At 40.6% G+C, this 18,291-nt stretch overlaps 1 pseudogene, besides 1 other annotated feature; it reads left to right on the top strand.

Annotated features, from left to right (window-relative positions):
- Positions 4,469-4,669: a silencer, noted in NCBI's record as "peak2278 fragment used in MPRA reporter construct". NCBI's record gives its function as "represses an SCP1 promoter by STARR-seq MPRAs in K562 erythroleukemia cells {active_cell/tissue: K562}" and the evidence as "EXISTENCE:reporter gene assay evidence [ECO:0000049][PMID:32103011]".
- Positions 14,266-15,460, top strand: MPHOSPH10P7 (MPHOSPH10 pseudogene 7; annotated as a pseudogene).

Below are 18,291 nucleotides of genomic sequence, written 5' to 3'. Positions count from 1 at the left end.
AACCGAGATACAGATCCTATGAAGATGGAAAATCCATAGCATGCTTGATGATTACTGAAGCAGACTATATTATCCAACATTCCAATAAGATAAAATAATCACAATGACTTCTCTTTTTTGGAAAAATGTTTCTCTTATTCTCCTACGTTATTGTGAAGACTTTTTTTCTTAAACAAGAAACATGTGTAATATTTGTAAAAACACAAAGCTTTTGGGCCGGGTGCAGTGGCTTATGCGTATAATTCCAGCACTTTAGGAGCCTGAGGCTGGCGGATCATGAGGTCAGGAGATTGAGACCATCCTGACTAAAAAGGTGAAACCACATCTCTACTAAAAATACAAAAAATTAGCCAGGCGTGGTGGTGGGTGCCTGTAGTCCCAGCTACTTGGGAAGCTGAGGCAGGAGAATGGCGTGAACCCAGGAGGTGGAGCTTGCAGTGAGCTCAGATCGTGCCACTGCACTCGAGCCTGGGCTACAGAGCGAGACTCCTTCTCAAAATAAATAAATAAATAAATAAATAAAACTTCTATTTCTTTCACTTTCTAATATAATTTTAATATCTCCTCCTGGGATTTCACTAAGACACATTTTGGACCTCATTCTGATCTTCCTCTCCCCTCCAAGCCCACCAACTTCTGCCCTATCATCCATCCTCATGTCTCTCTGTGTGACATGCTGACTTACTTTTTGGAGAGAATCGCCTAAACAATTAATTCTTTCTTCTCGTGTCTAATCCATCCACTAGTTTCTTATTTCAACAATTACATTTTTATTTCCTTATTTCATTTTATTCTGAGACTGAGTCTCATTCTGTCACACAGGCTGAATTGCAGTGGTACGAACCTGCAGACTCGGCCTCCTGGGCTCAAGTGATCCTCCCACCTCAGCCTCTTGAGTAGCTGGGACTATAGGCAGGTGCCCCATACCCAGCTAATACCATACCCACACAGCAGAGACATAAAAGATTTCCATCCTCAAAGAAGGTTCCATTGAACAGCACTGCTCTAATTCAATAAAAAATACCACTGAGCACAACATAGTAATAGAAAAGATTGAAGAGGCAGTGCTGATACTTAAAAACCTGGTATTTTCAGCCAGGCATGGTGGCTCATGCCTGTAATCCTGGCACTTTGGGAGGCTGAGGTGGGAAGATCGCTTAAGCCCAGGAGTTCTAGACCAGCTTGGGCAACATGGTGAAACCCTGTCTCTACAAAAAATACAAAAAATTAGCTGGGCATGGTGGCATGTGCCTGTAGTCCCAGCTACTTGGGAGGCTGAGGTGGGAGATCACCCGAGCCTGGGAGGTCAAGGCTGCAATGAGGTGAGATGGCACCACCACACTCCAGCCTGGGTGACAGAGTGAGACCCTGTCTCAAAAACAAAAAACAAAAAACAAAACAAAAACACCTGATATTTATTTTTAAGTACACTATTTTCAAACATTCAGAAGTTATTTCATCCTACCTTCATGGTTTCCATTCTATGCCTGGTTTAGAATTGGGATCTGATAAAATAAACGTGTTCAACAGAACCACTTCTCATGGCTGTATAACAGATGATCAATATGTATTTGCTGAGGAAATTATACAATTTTCTTAATTTTTTTTTAACAAAAATTGTGGTTTCAAGGGACCAAACTTGAATACTACACCTTCATGTTCTAAGAATCAGGGGACTTATATAAAACCTCAGTTGCCTGATAAGGACTACATCAAAGTGAAAAGCCATGGGAAAGAACTAGAAAGTATACTTTTGACCCTAGTTCTGTAAAGTTTCCTTATGCCACAGGTAATACACATCGCAATTCCTGCCAAATTCTTTCCCTCACCTCTGTTTATGGTCTCGATTCCATAAATAGGAGAAGGGCATGAATTTGCTTTAGTTAGATAGACAGATAGATGGATAGAGAGATAGATGGATGGATGGATGGATGGATAGATAGATAGACAGAGATAAAGACAGAGACAAAGATGGAGACAGAGATGGACATAGAGACAGATTTGCAGAAGATAAGTTCTAGGTGAACTAGTGTCAACATTAAAGTGGTATGCCTACATCTAACTATTCTGGAGAGAAAAACATACCTCAAAGAAATTGACTTAAATATATACAGAGAAAAAGTTTAAGCTGAAAGCTACTGCCTTTTTATATGAGACACTTTAGGAAATTACTTGGGGGGCAAGAGAGAAAATGGGTGGACATAGCTCAGAGGTTACACAGTAGCAGATATGTAGGATGAACAAGCCTAGAAATATAATGTACAACGCGAGAAATATAGGTAATAAAATTGTGCTGTATTTGGGATTCACGCTAAATGAGATTTTAAGCTCCTCTTGCCACCAAACAAAAAGAAAACGGGTAACTATCTGAGTTGAAGGATACGTTAATTTGCTTCACTGTAGTAATTTTTTTTAACCATCTATATGCATCCCATAAAATCATGTTGTATACCTTAAATACACAGAATACAATTTATTTAACATAAAAAACTACTCCAATATTTTCTGCATTTTTAATATGCTCACCCAAAGAAAGCATTAATTTGCATCTTTGATGTTAAACAGATAGCCTAATCAAGTCACTATCAAGATCAAGACTAAAAGTTACAGCTTTTTTCTTTTGATGCCTTTCAGATATATCTATTTATATATAAAAATATATATACACACACACATACATACACACACACACACACATATATATGTAGTTATGTGTGTGTGTATATATAGTTACAGTTTTGGCCAGGTGCAATGGCTGACACCTGTAATCTCAGCCCTTTGGGAGACCAAGGCTGAAGGCTTGCTTGAGGCCAGGAGTTTGAGACCAGCCTGGGCAACGAAGCAAGACCCTATCTCTACAATTTTTTTTTTTTAACAAAATTAGCCAGGGATGATGGCATGCACTTGTAGTCCCAGATACTTGGGAGGCTGAGGCGGAGGATCCCTTGAGCCCAGGAGTTCAAAGCTGCAATGGGCTGTTACTGTGCCACTGGATCCCAGTCTGAGCAACAGAGCAAGACTTTGTCTCAAAAACAAAATTTATAATTAAAGATAAATAGTTATAGTTTTATGAACCTTGACTGCAACTGAGGGAAAATCCCGTAATTGGCAAAATGAATTCTGCCTGCTTGCAAAACTTCTGACTAATACGGAATGAATAATAGGAAGCCCATATTAGAGGATCCACATCAGTTAAAAAGTTTCCAAATAAGAGTGACTCTGAGTTCTGCAGAGTGAAAAGATTGGGTTCAAACCAAACACTTGAAGATCTTGAGTAAGATACTTAATCCCTCTGTGACTCACTGTTCTCAAATGTAAGTGAAGATAATTTGTAACTCAAAAAAAATGAAAAAGTTTTCTCTAAGATTGCAAATCCTAAGGATAATTTCATTTTAATATCAGTTATTTAGTCTGGATACACCATAATGCAGACTAATTTTCCCTCTGCTTAAAGACCACACAAAAACATTACCAATAAAATTTACTTGTGTATCAACTTTTACTCCTGAGACTTCATCGTTTGTTTGGTTAAAAAAAAAAAAAAAAAAAAAAGCGCACTAGACCGGGCACAGTGGCCCATGTCTGTGATCTCACTTACGGAGGCCAAGGCAGGTGGATGAGTTTGAGAACAACCTGGGCAACATGGAAAAACCCCGTCTCTACAAAAAAAAAATATAAAAATTAGTCAGGTGTGGTGGCACATAACTGTGGTCCCAGCTACTCCAGAGAGTGAGGCGGGAGGATTGCTTGAGCCCACGCAGAGGTTGCAGTGAACCAAGATGGCACCACTGCACTCCAGCCTGGGTGACAGAGCAAGACCCTGTCTCAAAAAAAAAAAAAAAATCACTATAAAATTGAAATTCACAACAAAATGTGCATACTTAACCTTCTTTTTATTTATTTATTTATTTTTAATATTTTGAGACAACATCTTGCTATGTTGCCTAGGCTGGTCTTGAACTCCTGGGTTCAAACCATCCTCCAGTCTTGACTTCCCAAGTACTGGGACTACAGGTGTGAGCCACCAGCCCCGCCAGCCCTGTTACACTATTCTTGGCCCCTCAAGTGACTGTATGAATTTTAGGATCAGCCTCTCGAGTTCCACAAAAAAATTCTATTGGGATTTGTGTAGGAATTTCTTGAATTTATAGATTAATTTGTTGAGAAGTAGTATGTTTATAGCATTGAGTCCTACGATTCATAATATATATGGCATGTATTTCAGTTTAGTCAGTTCTTCCTTTAAGTCCCTGGGTAATTTTTATATTTGTCTTAGTCCCTTCATAGTGCTATAACAAAACACCTGAGACTGGGTAATTTACACAGAGCAGAAGTTTATTTTCTCAGTTCTGGAGGTTGGGAAGAACAAGATCAAGACTCCAGCAGACACAGTGTCTAGTGAGGGCCTGGTCTCTGCTTCCAAGATGGTACGTTGAATGCTGCTTCCTCTGGAGCAGGCAAATGCTATGTTCTCATGAGGCAGAAGGGACAGATTTACCACCACCCACAAGCCCTTTTATAAGGAAGGCACTAATCTCATGCATGAGGGCTCACCCTATGTCTTAATCACTTCTTAAAGGCCCCACTTCTTAGTACTATCATCTTGGGAATTAAGTTTTAATACATGAATTTTGGGAGACACATTCAGGCTATGGCAATACTCTTCATGAAAGGCCTTGTGTATACTTTGCTAGATATATTCTCAGGGTTTTGTTGCTATTGTGAATAGAATCTCTTTTTTTTTTTTTTTTTTTGCCACGGAGTCTGGCTCCTTTGCTCAGGCTGGAGTGCAGTGGCGCGATCTCGGCTCACTGCAAGCTCCGCCCCTCCAGGTTTAAGCAGCCTGTTGCCCAGGCTGGAATGCAGTAGCATAGTCATAGTTCAATACAGCCTCAAACTCCTGGGCCCAAATGATTCTCTAAGCTAATATTTTTAATTTTTTAGAGATGGAGTTTCATTCAAGGATCACTAAAGGCCAGTGATCCTCCCGCCTCAGCTTCTGAAATTGCTGGGATTACAGGTGTGATTGAGCCATGGAGCCTGGCCAGACATGGGCTATTGATTCTCGCTGTTACTCTTTTCCCTTTCCTTCTAATCCTTGTATTGGGAAGAAAACAGTATGGAAATTTTATTTCTTCATTTTATTGATACGTAGATCTCTGCTTAGAAGACAATTTTAGTTTTAAATTATAAATGTTTTGTTCATTATTCATAGAAAACTAGATTTGCCATGGGATATTTATAAGTGTTGCACGAATGAAGGGTTTTCTAGTCAAATAAGTTGAAACACATTACGTTAAACAAACTTGGACAGTTTTGTTTCTGGTCAATTTTAGAGTTCTAAATTATGATTCTACTCAAGAGGATATTGTATGCGGTATTTTCAAACCAACTCATCCTGCGTCAGGTTGTGGTTACGCTTTGGGAGAGGAAGCTATAATCTTATACTGGGACTGTAATGAATGTATTAAAGTAATTTTCGTAGCTTTCTCTTTTTGGAGTTACCTGAGAAATTATGACACCCTTTTCCAAACAGGCCAAGCTGCTTTGCAAACACGATTTCCATAATTTTAACAATGGTGAGGCCAGGCACGGTGGCTCATACCTGTAATTCCTTCCAGCACTTTGGGAAGCCTAGGCAGGAGGATCACTTAAGCCAGGAGTTCAATACCAGCCTGGGCAACATGGCAAAAACTCATCTCTACAAAAAATACAAATATTAGCCAGGCGTGGTGGCACACACCTATAGTCTCAGCTACTCAGAGGTTGAGGTGGGAAAATTGCTTCAGCTCAGGAGCTCGAGGCTGCAGTGAACGGTGATCACGCCACTGCACTCCAGCCTGGGTGACAGAGCAAGACCCTGTCTCAAAAACAAACAAAACAAAACACAAACCAAGGGTGAGAGAGATGTTAGATGTTTTTGTCCTTGTTACAGATGTAAATGCTCAGTTGGAAAGAGGGAAGTATTTAGAGTGAAAAACTTTCGGTGGAACACACACAAAAATAGGAAGATCAGGTATAACTGTTCCAAAAAAAAGAGTATGGCAGTATAGAAGAAAAGGTCTCCATGAAAATGCAGAAGAACAATTTCACAGCTGGTGCTGGCATTTCAGAGACCTTGAGCTGGGAATCAAAAGATGGGAATTTCAGTCTCGGATGTGCCACTCCTTAGAGGTTTAATATCTACTAAACCCGGCGGGCTCCACTTGGTGGTGTTTGCTATTTAAAAAAACAAAAACATGTGGCAATGATCTTCCACGTGATTCTGACTTGAGCCCCACCCGAGTCTGCAGACTTACCCTTCCACTGCTTTGCCCTTCAAGTTTGTGCCCATTAGCAAAGAGAAATTTTCTCTTTGGGATCACTGCTGTGTTGATCTCAGGAATAGTTGGCGTTGAATTTAACATATTTTTCATATGTGTGTGCAATAGGGAGGCTGAGAAACTTGTCTTTTTTTTAAGGTGTTCATTTTTGGGGTACAGGTAGCAGCCTGCTCTACAATCCACACAGAAGCTGGAAATAGCCTCTAGAGAATTTCCACTTTTAGAGAAGATAAATTTATACATTTGTATCTAATCAACATTTTTTAGCTAACATAGTAGTCTAATTATACTATGTATAATTATACTATGTATAATTATGGGTACTGAAATGACACCTGGCATATGCTGTATGCTGTGTTATATATACATATATATTTACACATATACATATATATTACACATATACATATATATTTACACACATATATTTACACATATACATATATTTACATATTTTACATTTACATTTTACATTTATTTTACATTTTACATTTATTTTACATTTTACATTTATTTTACATTTTACATTTACATTTGACATTCTACATTTATTTTACATTTACATATTTTACATTTACAAATATTTACATATTTTACATTTATATATATATACATATATTTACATACATATATTTACATACATATTTTTCCATACATATTTACATGTGTATATATTTACATACATTCACATACATATTTACATATATACTTACATACATACATATTTACATAATATTTACATACACATATTACATACATATATGTACACATATACATATATTTACACATATACTTATACTATGTATAATCATGGGTACTGAAATGACACCTGGCATATGCTGTATTTAAAAATGTGAGGTTCAGTGAGAACACATGGACACAGGAAGGGAAACAACACATACTGGGGCCTGTCAGGGCGGGTGGGGGAGGAGCATCAGGAAAAATAGCTAATGCGTGCTGGGCTTAACACTGAGGTGATGAGTTGATAGGTGGACCAAACCACCATGGCACACGTTTCCCTACGTAACACTCCTGCACATGTACCCTAGAACTTAAAACAAAATTTTAAAAATAATAAAAAATAAAAATTTGAAATTCAGCACATAAACTGTTGGTTTTATTATTCATATTTTCTTAATTCAGAAATTATTTTCTGAACTATGGTTTATTCGATAATTTTGACGTAACAATTTTTTAAGAGGAAATTTAAGTTTTACTTTTTAATTGGGGCTCTTGGTTCTTTTTAAGAAAGACAGAGATAAATCATTTATACATTTAATTAGAAGAGACTGGGCTTGAATTTTTAAAAAGTACTAGAAATCGTAGCCACTATATATGTTATCTTTGAAATGTTTTAGACACTAATTACCTAAACAAGGAGCAAATAAGTTAAACCTCTTGGATTTTAATAAGAGCTAAAATGTACAGTTGTATTTTCTGGTTTTTTAAATTGTTACAGTCTAAATTTATTCTTCCTAATGAAGAAATGTATGTGCCGTCAATATCAGGTTCTTTGTGAGTACTCACAGTTCCCTTTGCCTTTTACGCAGTGAATGTGGGCAACATGCGTGGAACAGAAATGATGTCGTTTTCTTTCTTTTGAATATCACTATGAATCTAATAATTCAAAGATTCCTAACTTTCTGAATGCCATTATTAATTGGATTCACAATGACTTACCAGGTACAGAGTTGTCCAGTGTGTCTTGGGGTGAACTACTGAGAGTGGTATGAGGGAAGCGATTCTCAGCTAGCACTGAGTGGGGCCACTTCCAAAGAGGTGATGGGGTAAGAAGCACACACAATGTGGCATTTTCACTGCAAAGGGAGGTTTGTGCTGCCTCTCCTCCTGTGGCAGGTCTGCTCGCAGGGGAGGCTCCAAAGTTTGGCTTTGCTGGGTTTGGCATGTGAGAACTGATGAAATATCTGTATGTAGTATCTTTCAAGGATTTATATCGGTTGGATTTCTGTGTAAATTTGCATATCCCTTTGACTGCTTTACCCTATAGAAGCTTTGTATGCTTAACAAAATCTGTAACTTCTCTGTCACTTTCTCATTTAGCATCTGCCTTTCTGGCTTTTTACTTTATCTTTTTATTATTGTTTTTAGTTTAATGAGATTATGGTTAGAGAGAAAGATGGATGCATGATTCCGCTTCTTTGGAATTTGTTGAGATTTTCCTTATGGCTCAGTACATATGTACTTGGGGGGGTGAATGCTGTCACTTTGGAGAGATATGTTTTTTCTGTACATTAGGTCAAGCTTGTTAATTTTCTAGAGAGATGTAAATCTTCTATGTCTATGCTGATTGTTTTTTGTCTCTTTTATCAGATACTGAGATATGTATTTAAATTGCCCTCTGAGGGTTGCAATTTTGTCATATTTTGCTTTCATGTATTTTGAGTGCTAGTTATTAGATACATTAACATTTTAGATTACCTTCTCCCTTGGTTTATTAGAATTTTTATCATCATATTGTGACCTTAAAAAATCTCCCATATTGCTTTTTGCCCAAAGCCTATTTTATCTGATAATAATATAGCTTCCAACCCTTCTTTGGGTTAGGTACATATGACATGTGTATCTTTTTTCAATCTCTCTCAGTCTTTCTGTGACTTTATGTTTTAGATGTCTTTTCATACTGTTTATTTTCTGTTTTTTGTGTTTTTTTTGTGTGTTTTTTTTTTTGATACGGAGTCTTGCTCTGTTGCCCAGGCTGGAGTGTAATGGTGTGACCTCGGCACTGCAACCTCTGCCTCCTGGATTCAAGCGATTCTCCTGCCTCAGCCTCCTGAGTAACTGGGATTACAGATGTTCACCACCACGCCGGCTAATTTTTGTATTAGCAGAGATGGGGTTTCACCATGTTGGTCAGGCTGCTCTCGAACTCCTGACCTTGTGATCCCTCCGCCTGCCTCATCCTCCCAAAGTGCTGGGATTACAGGCATGAGCCACCACGCGTGCCCTAATTCTGTTTTATAGTCATTTTCTCTTAATTATTCAGTCTATTTACATTTATTGTGATTGTTGGCATAGTTTCTTTTATAACTTTCATCGTATTTTGTGCTATTTGTTCCATCTGTTTTTATTTCTTCATGTCTTTTTTGTCTCGTTTTTGCTAATTCCTTTTATATTCATGGTTATTCTGCTCTTGAAATGTATGCTATGTGAATATATTTGTGAGTTGACAATACTTTATTAGCAATTAAATATACTATTTCTCTTTTTTTTTAGAACTTGCTCAAATGTTACATAACCTCAATATCCTTAGTATCTAAATTAAACTGACTTTCTGAACAATCATCATTTTAAGGCAGTTACCACGATCTACTAAAAAATAAAAAAAATTAGCCGGGTGTGGTGGTGGGCGCCTGTAATCCCAGCTACTCAGGAGGCTGAGGCAGGAGAATCCCTTGACCCTGGGAGGCAGAGGCTGCAGTGAGCCGAGATAGCGCCACTGCACTCCAGCCTGGGCGACAGAGAGACTCCGTCTCAAAAAAAAAAAAAATAATAATAATAATAAAGGAATTTAAAAAAAGACTGGGTTTAACCATGTTGCCCAGGCCGGTCTGGAACTCCTAGGCTCAAGCAATCCCCCACGCTTGGCCAGTCCAAAGTCCTGGAATCAAAAGCGTGAGCCACCACGCCAGGCCGATCACGCCTGTCATCCCAGCACTTGGGGAGGCGGAGGTGGGTGGATCACCGGAGGTCAGGAATTTGAGACCAGCCTGGCCAACATGATGAAAACCCGTCTCTACTAAAAATACAAAAAAAAAAATTAGCCGGGTGTGGCGGCAGGTGCCTGTAATCCCAGCTACTCAGGAGGCTGAGGCAGGAGAACCACCAAAACCCGGGATGCAGAATTCGCCGCGAGCGGAGACCCAGCCACTGCACTCCAGCCTGGGCAACAAGAGGGAAACTCCGCCTCAAAAGAAAAAAAAAATAATAATAAGAGACAGATTTTCACCATGTTGCCCAGGCAGGTCTGGAACTCTTAGGCTCAAGCAATTCCCCACGCTCGGTTGTCCAAAGTCCTGGGATCAAAAGCGTGAGCCACCACGCCAGGCCGATCTATTTCTTTCTGATTAATAAATTGGGCCGGGAGCGGTGGCTCACGCCTGCAGTCCCAGCACCCCGGGAGGCCGTGGCGGGCGGATCACCTGAGGTCGGGAGTTTGAGACCAGCCTGACCAACATGGAGAGACCTGTCTCTACCAGAAAAAAAAAAAAAGAGCCGGGCATGGTGGCTCCCGCCTGCAATCCCAGTCACTCGGAGGCTGAGGCAGGAGAACCACCCAAACCCAGAGGCAGAGGCCGCGGGGAGCCGACACCGCACCACTGCACTCCAGCCCTGCAACAAGAGGGAAACTACGCCTCAAAAAAAAAAAGAGAGAGAGAGAGAGACCGGTTTTCACCATGTTGCCCAGGCTGGTCTAGAACTCCTAGGATCAAGGGATCCGCCACGCTCGGCCCGTCCAAACTCCTGGGATCAAAAGCGTGAGCCACCACGCCAGGCCGATCCTTCCTGTCATCCCAGCACTTTGGGAGGCCGAGGTGGGTTTACCTGAGGTCCGGAGTTCGAGACCAGCCTGGCCAACATGATGAAAACCCATCTCTACTAAAAATCCAAAAAAAAAAAAAAAAAAAAAAATTAGATGGGTGTGCTAGCGGGCGCCTGTAATCTCAGCTACTCAGGCGGCTGAGGCAGGAGAATCGCTTGAACCTGGGAGGCAGAGGTTGCAGTGAGCCGAGACAGCGCACCACTGCACTCCAGCCTGGGTGACAAAGTGAGACTCCGTCTCAAAAGTATATATATATAAAAATAAAAAATGAAATAAAAATAAATTGGGTGTGTGCGCTGGCTCACGCCTGCAATTCCAGCATCCCCGGAGGCCGAGGTGGGCGGATAACCTGAGGTCTGGAGTTTGAGATCAGCTTGCCCAGCATGGAGAAACTCCGTCTCTACCAAAAACAAATAAAAAAAATTAGCAGAGCAATGTTGGTCAGGCCTGCAATCCCAGCCACTCCGGAGACTGAGGCAGGAGAACTACTAAAACCCTGGAGGCAGAAGTCGCTGCGAGCGGAGACCCAGCCACTGCACTCCACCCTGGGCAACAAGAGCGAAACTCCACCTCATAAAAAAAAAAAAAGAGAGAGAGAGAGAGACCGGGTTTCACCATGTTGCCCAGGCAGGTCTGGAACTCCTAGGCTCAAGGGATACCCCGCGCTGGGCCATCCAAAGTACTGGGATCACAAGCGTGAGCCACCACACCAGGACGATCTATTCCTTTCTGATTAACAAATTGGGCCGGGAGCGGTGGCTCAAGCCTGCAATCCTAGCACCTCGGGAGGCCTAGGCAGGTGGATCACCTGAGGTCGGGAGTTTGAGACCAGCCTGACCAACAGGGAGAAACCCCATCTGTACCAAAATAAAAATAAAAAAAAAAATACAAAATTAGCCGGGCTTGGTGGCTTATGCCTGCAATCCCAGCCACTCTGGAGGCTGATGCAGGACAACGACCGAAACCCGGGAGGCGGAAGTCGCGGCAAGCAGAGACCCAGCCACTGCATTCCAGCCTGGGCAACAAGAGCGAAACTCTGTCTCAAAACAACACAAAACAAAAAGACCAGGTTTCACCATGTTGCCCAGGCCTGTCTGGAACTCCAAGGCACAAGCGATCCACCCTACTTGGCCGTCCAAAGTCCTGGGATCACAAGAGTGAGCCACCACGCCAGGCAGATCAAAGCGTTGAGCTGAATAAAGAGTTATCTTTTAGCATTTTGTGGAGCCCGGGTAGATCTGTGCAGGGGGAAGCATATTACAGAAGCGAGAAACAGAGGGTTATTTAATTGAAGCACGCATTATGTTTTTTTTTTTTTACGTTTTTAGGAAAAATATGTTTTGTGACTTGCATTTGTTTGTTTAGTGACCTTGCAGTTGCACAGTTAGGGAATTAGGGTTTTGATAATGCCTGGGAAGGGAGCGATAAGGCTCACTAGCCATAGGAAAACAGGTAGTTTTTTTAAAGGACTAAGGCTCTTTCTCATTCTCAGGGGGAATTGGGTTTTTTTTACATACAGCTGAGTTTTTGCTTACACATTTTTTCATTTCTTTTAATTCCTGTTCCAATGCCAGCATCCTTGCGGTGCGGTTTCCCAGCGGCTCTCTTGCCTTGCAGCTTGTGTCGGGAGTTGCAGACAGCCATGGCCCATGGGCCTGGCGCTGACGGACCCCGGAGCGGTGTCTGAGGGAGGTGGGCAAAGCCACTGGCTGGCCCGAGTGCATCCTCACGTAAGTGCACAGATCCCGGGCTCGGGTGCGACTGCGGTCGCACGTGGACACGGGTTGCAGACCCCTGGCAAATTGTGGAGCTGGGGGAAGGTAAGGGGAAATGTAAATCACTTTTCCCCACATTTCAGAGGACCTAGGCTATCAAAATTTTAAAAATTGTTAAAACTTTTACAGTATGGATCTCTCAGTTGAATGTTATTGAAATCAACCTAACCTCAGTTATTCACGCCTATAAGCTCCCCTTGAGGCTTATTACGGCCCCCATCCCCCTACACACAACTGTGTTGGTTTCTCCTTCCGCCTGTGCTCCTAAAGCACTCAGTGTTTACCTGCCATCATACTTTATTGAAAGCACAAACTTGTCACTTGTCTGTCTACCCCACTAAGCTTCTTGAGAATTAGAACTTTCATGTCTCTTCCCAACACAAACGTTTTATGTGTATTTTGTTGAAGAACTTCAAATATGACCTATAAAATTATGACTCATTTATGTTTCAAACTCCAACCTCTCCCTTGAGTTCCTTGCTCACAAGCAACTCCAGACTGAGCTTAGTTGGAATTCAGTAGCGCACAACTGGGATATCCGCACCGTACGGCTTTTAACAATTTTTTAAATTTTGGTCCTCTCAGCATCACAAATTCACTGTGTCCAAAATACAGTAGAATGTTGTTTCTACCCACCTACACTCTGCCATCCGCTGAAGTCCTTTCCCCTTGCTCCACCACTCAAGCCTTGCCTATCGCACTAAATGGCAGTTCTGTCTCTCCAGTTGCTCGCACATAAAACTAGGCTGCTATTTTGATGTCTTCACTTTTCTCTATTCTGTATCTAATTCCTTAGCAATCCTGTCAGTTCTACCTCCAAACTGTACTCAGCATATTCACTGCTCTAACTCCAGCTTAAATCACCATCATCCTTTGCCTGGAATGCTGCATCAACCTTCTAATCACTCTACTTTCCTCCTCCTCCTTCCTCCCTTTCTTCTTCCTTCGTATAAATCATCATTTCATCCTTCTGCTTAAAATCTTCTCATATTTTCTTATTACAGTTAAAACGGCAAACTCTTACCCTTGAGCCCTGCAGAATTTGGCTCCCATCAGTCTCTCCAACTTCACCTTCTGCCTCCTTCATGCTATAGCCATGCTCACTTTTTTTATTCCTCAGGCTTACCAAGCTCAATTGCATCTTAGAGAATTTGTTCTTGCTGTTTCTTCCGCCTGGAATACATGTTTCCCAATCTTTATAAGACTATACTTGTCTGTAAGTTTCATCTCAGATGTCACATCTAGGAGAGGTTTTCCTTGACCACTGTAGCCAAAGCAAATGTTGATCATTGAGTGAATAAGGGAATGAATGAATGGAGTGGTATATAATGTAGCAGAGTAGATAATTTAAGGCTAATTCACTATATATCTCCAAGCAAATAGATTTGTAATGCTTTTCCTGCCAACAATCTATACAGCTGATTCACAAATACTTGGTTGACAGGTTTTATATATCATTGTGGCTCATCAGCTTATATATTGTTGGGGCCAGAATCTATACTTACACTTTATTCAAATTTGATTTTACAGAAGAGTTGAGGTTTTTATTTTTCTTTTAATTAAGAGGGCTGTGAAATTATTATCTATAATTCTAAATCTCATTTAATTCCTCCCAATAGGTTTCAAGATGGATTGGAACCAAAGTTCACTTCTTTAACAAAAGTGCTTTATGACTTTAATAAAACAGTAGAGAATGGTAGAATCCATGGCAGCTCTTTACAAAAACTTGTGATAGAAAGTTTTGATGATGAGCAGACTTTGCAACAACTGGAATTGCAAAATGAAGCAATTTTACAGTGCTTCCAGAATGCGGTTAGTGAAAGAAAGATGAAGATATCAGTCTTCTCCCAGAGAGTGAAGAACAGGAGCATGAAGAGGCTGGTTCAGAAACAGAGGCTGATGGCCAGGAGGACCTAGAAGATTTAGAGGAGGAGGAGGACGTGTCAGATATGGGTGGTGACAATCCTGAAATGGGTGAGAGAGCTAAAAACTCAAGCAAATTCAGGGCCAGGCGCGGTGGCTCACGCCTGTAATCCCAGCACTTTGGGAGGCCGAGGCAGGTGGATCACGAGGTCAGGAGATCGAGACCATCCTGGCTAACAAGGTGAAACCCCATCTCTACTAAACATACAAAAAATTAGCCAGGCGTGGTGGCAGGTGCCTGTAGTCCCAGCTACTCGGGAGGCTGAGGCAGGAGAATGCCATGAACCCGGGAGGTGGAGCTTGCAGTGAGCCTAGATCACGCCACTGCAGTCCAGCTGGGCGGCAGAGTGAGAGACTGCATCTCAAAAACAAAAACAACAATTACTTAACTTTAGGATGCTCCAATAATCAAAATTGATAGTGGCTTGTGAACAGATAGATTACTTGAATAGAATAGAGCCCAGAAATAAACCCAAATGCTTCTGGGGGAGTTTGGTACATTATAAACATGAGATTTTAAATCAATGAGGAAAAGAAATCATTTGCAGCTCACCCCACCATACACAGCAGGAATAGGAAGTCATTGGCAGAATAAAAAGATGGTAAGAACAGAACAGAATTGTAGAACAGTACATTTCTTGCTTCCCCACTTTTCAAAGTATTTTTTGCTTTTTCACAAATGTAAGTGTAATTTTATTTTCTAAATGTATACTAATTCTTTTCTTCTCTTTCTTAGATGAATGACAAAAATTACATCTTTAGAAAAAGAGTTGTTAGAAAAAAGCCTTGGCTGCATGTGGGGGAAGTGACAGCACAGAAGAGACCAGAGAAGAGCCTCCTGGAGGAGAGCCTGCACTTTGACCATGCTGTCCGGATGGGTGCAGTGCTCTTTTCTGCAAAGTGTTCACTTCTCTGCTTTTTCTATGGTCCCATTTCATAGAAAGATTTGGGGTGATGTTTCTTTCCCTCAACTTTTATTTTGAAAACTTGCAAACACAGAAAAGTTGATAAAATCATACAGTGAACATCTGTATGCTATTCAACTGGATTCACTAGTTAATGTTTTGTCACACTTGTTTTCTGTCTTCTGCGTATGGAAGATTGTATATGTGCCCTTTTTCCCTCTGAATCATTTCAAAGTAAGTTGGCAGTATCAGAGCATTTCACTGTTAAGTACTTTCGCAGATATCTTCTAGGAACCAGGACTTCTCCTATATAATCACAATACCATTAATCCACCCCCAAAATTTAACATCAATACACTAATGATACCTACTGTATAGATTATAATCAGCTTCCTTGCAGCAATCTGTTTAGAAGGCTTGCATCCTGTCACTGTCCACTGATTAAATTTTGAACTCTAACTTGAAACCCTGGTCATCTCATTGCCTTCTTTCTTATACCCATTAAGTCAAAAGGAGCTCTCATTTTATTTCAACAGAAAAGAGAATGGAAAAGAGGGGAAGAGTCCCTAGTACCTTGGATAAAGTATGAGCACTTACTACCATATGTATTCTAGTTCTGTGGTTTTCAAACTTCAGGGAGCATCTCAAGGCTTATTAAAGCACAGATAGCTGTCCTTCCCCACTTTCTGATTCAGGAGGTGTGGGGCTGGCCCAGGAATTTGCATGTCTAACAAGTTCCCACGTGTTTCTGATGCTGAGGGTCTAAGGACTACAATGCATGAATCCGTGGTTTAGTGGATATCCACCTAATGAATACATGTTGTATTTCCTTTGGCACCCGTGATTACAGAGGAAACACCTTTCAACTGGAAGGTATCATTAAACAGAGGATAAGAGATCAGGTCAGTAAGAATTAAATTTCACTTAATTGAAATGTCACTCAAATGTTTAGAAATAATATGACAGGCCAGGCACAGTGGCTCATGCCTGTAATCCCAGCACTTTGGGAGGCCAAGGCAGACGGATCACTTGAGGTCAGGAGTTCGAGACCAGCCTGTCCAAGATGGTAAAACTTCCTCTCTACTAAAAATACAAAAATTAGCTGGGCATGGTGGTGCATGCCTATAGTCCCAGGTACTCGGGAGGCTGAGGCAGGGGAATCGCTTGATCTCGGGATATGGAGGTTGCAGTGAGCTGAGATGCGCCACCGCACTCCAGCCTGGGCAACAGAGTGAGACTCCATCTCAACATAAATAAATAAATAAATAAATAAATAAATAAATAAATAAATAAGATAAAAATAAAAATAAAGGGAAGATGGGACAGCTTTGTGTATTGCATGTCCTGAAAATGGGCTGATTTCTCTCAAGAGGCAGGGATTTAAGCTCTGTAGCCTATGTGGGATACATACAGGAGAAAAAAGAAGAAAAAGAAAAGAAATGTAAATATAAATAAATGAAAATAACACTTTTCCATGATTATAAAGGAAATCACATTGTTTTTGTAATAATTTGGATGACAAAATGTAAAGAAAAATCTTTAATTTTGCCACTCAAAACATTCTGGTTTGTTGCTTTTCACACTTTTTATGCTGTAAACATTTTAAAAAGTAGAATCACAATACATGGTCTTTTGTCACTTACTATATTTTAAGCATGTTTCTATGGGAGAAATATATCCTGGCATCATCACTTTCAACAGCTGGATGTATGTTAAGTGAATCATTGCCACCCCAGAGGTGGATTTCCTTCTATATATATTTTAATGGACTCGAGTGAGGATTTTTGCACTGAATTCATAGAAGTAGAATTTCTAGAAGAAAATAATATAAAACAGTTTTAGGATTTTTAAAACAAATGTTCAAATCATCCTATAGGAAAATTGGTTGAGTTTACGCTCCCACCAACAGGGACAGAGCTCCAGGTTCCGCCTTCCATTTGTCGTCTTCGCTGGTCTTTAAGCAGAAAATCTCATTGTTTTCATTACCTTTCTTTGATTTCTAGTGCTTTTGAATCTTTTTCATTTGCTCATTGGCCATTTTTATTCTTGTGGGAAGTGCTGGTTTCTCCATTGCCCATTTTCTGCTGCAAATCATTCATTTTTTTTTTCTGAGTAATTTAAAAGATTTCTTTATAGGCTAAGGATACAAACCTTTAATCTGTCATTGAGGTTACAAAGATCTTCTCCCAGTAAGTAATTTGTCATTTCACTTTATTTATTTATTTTTTGCTAGCAAAGCACCAAAGTCAAATTTCACTTAATTTTTATCCTGCTGAATGAACACATTTTAAGTTAGTGATTTTAGTGGAAACAGGAGCAGGACAGAATGTAATAATTAGATCTCGCTCTGTCACCCCAACTGGAGTGCAGTGGCATGATCGTAGCTACTGCAGCCTCAAACTTCTGGGCTCAAGTGATTTTCCCACCTCAGCCTCCCAAGTAGCTCTAGGACTACAGGTGTGTGCCGCCAAGCCCAGCTAATTTTTAAATTTTCTTTGTAGAGATATGAATTCGCTATGCTGCCCAGGCTGGTCTTTAACTCCTGACTTACCCCACCTTAGCTTGCCAATATGCTGGGAGTACGGGCGTGAACTACTGCTCCCGGCCAAGAGCTTACTTTGGTTTGCTAGCAAGGTTCTTGGTATCTTTTTATATTTGAGGCTTTCGTGCTAGTGCTGAAGTATTACACTCACCATCTGAGGTTTACAGGACTTTTGTTTTAATATTGAACCGAGGGAACTGTTTAGTTTTGCATCTTTGCAGGTATACAAAATGTGCCTACCAGGACTCTGCTTTATATCCAT

Source organism: Homo sapiens, chromosome 15 (genome assembly GCF_000001405.40).
Source record: "Homo sapiens chromosome 15, GRCh38.p14 Primary Assembly".
Taxonomy (NCBI): domain Eukaryota; kingdom Metazoa; phylum Chordata; class Mammalia; order Primates; family Hominidae; genus Homo; species Homo sapiens.
Note: the sequence above shows the minus strand (reverse complement) of the source record. Positions and strands in the feature narration are given on the sequence as shown.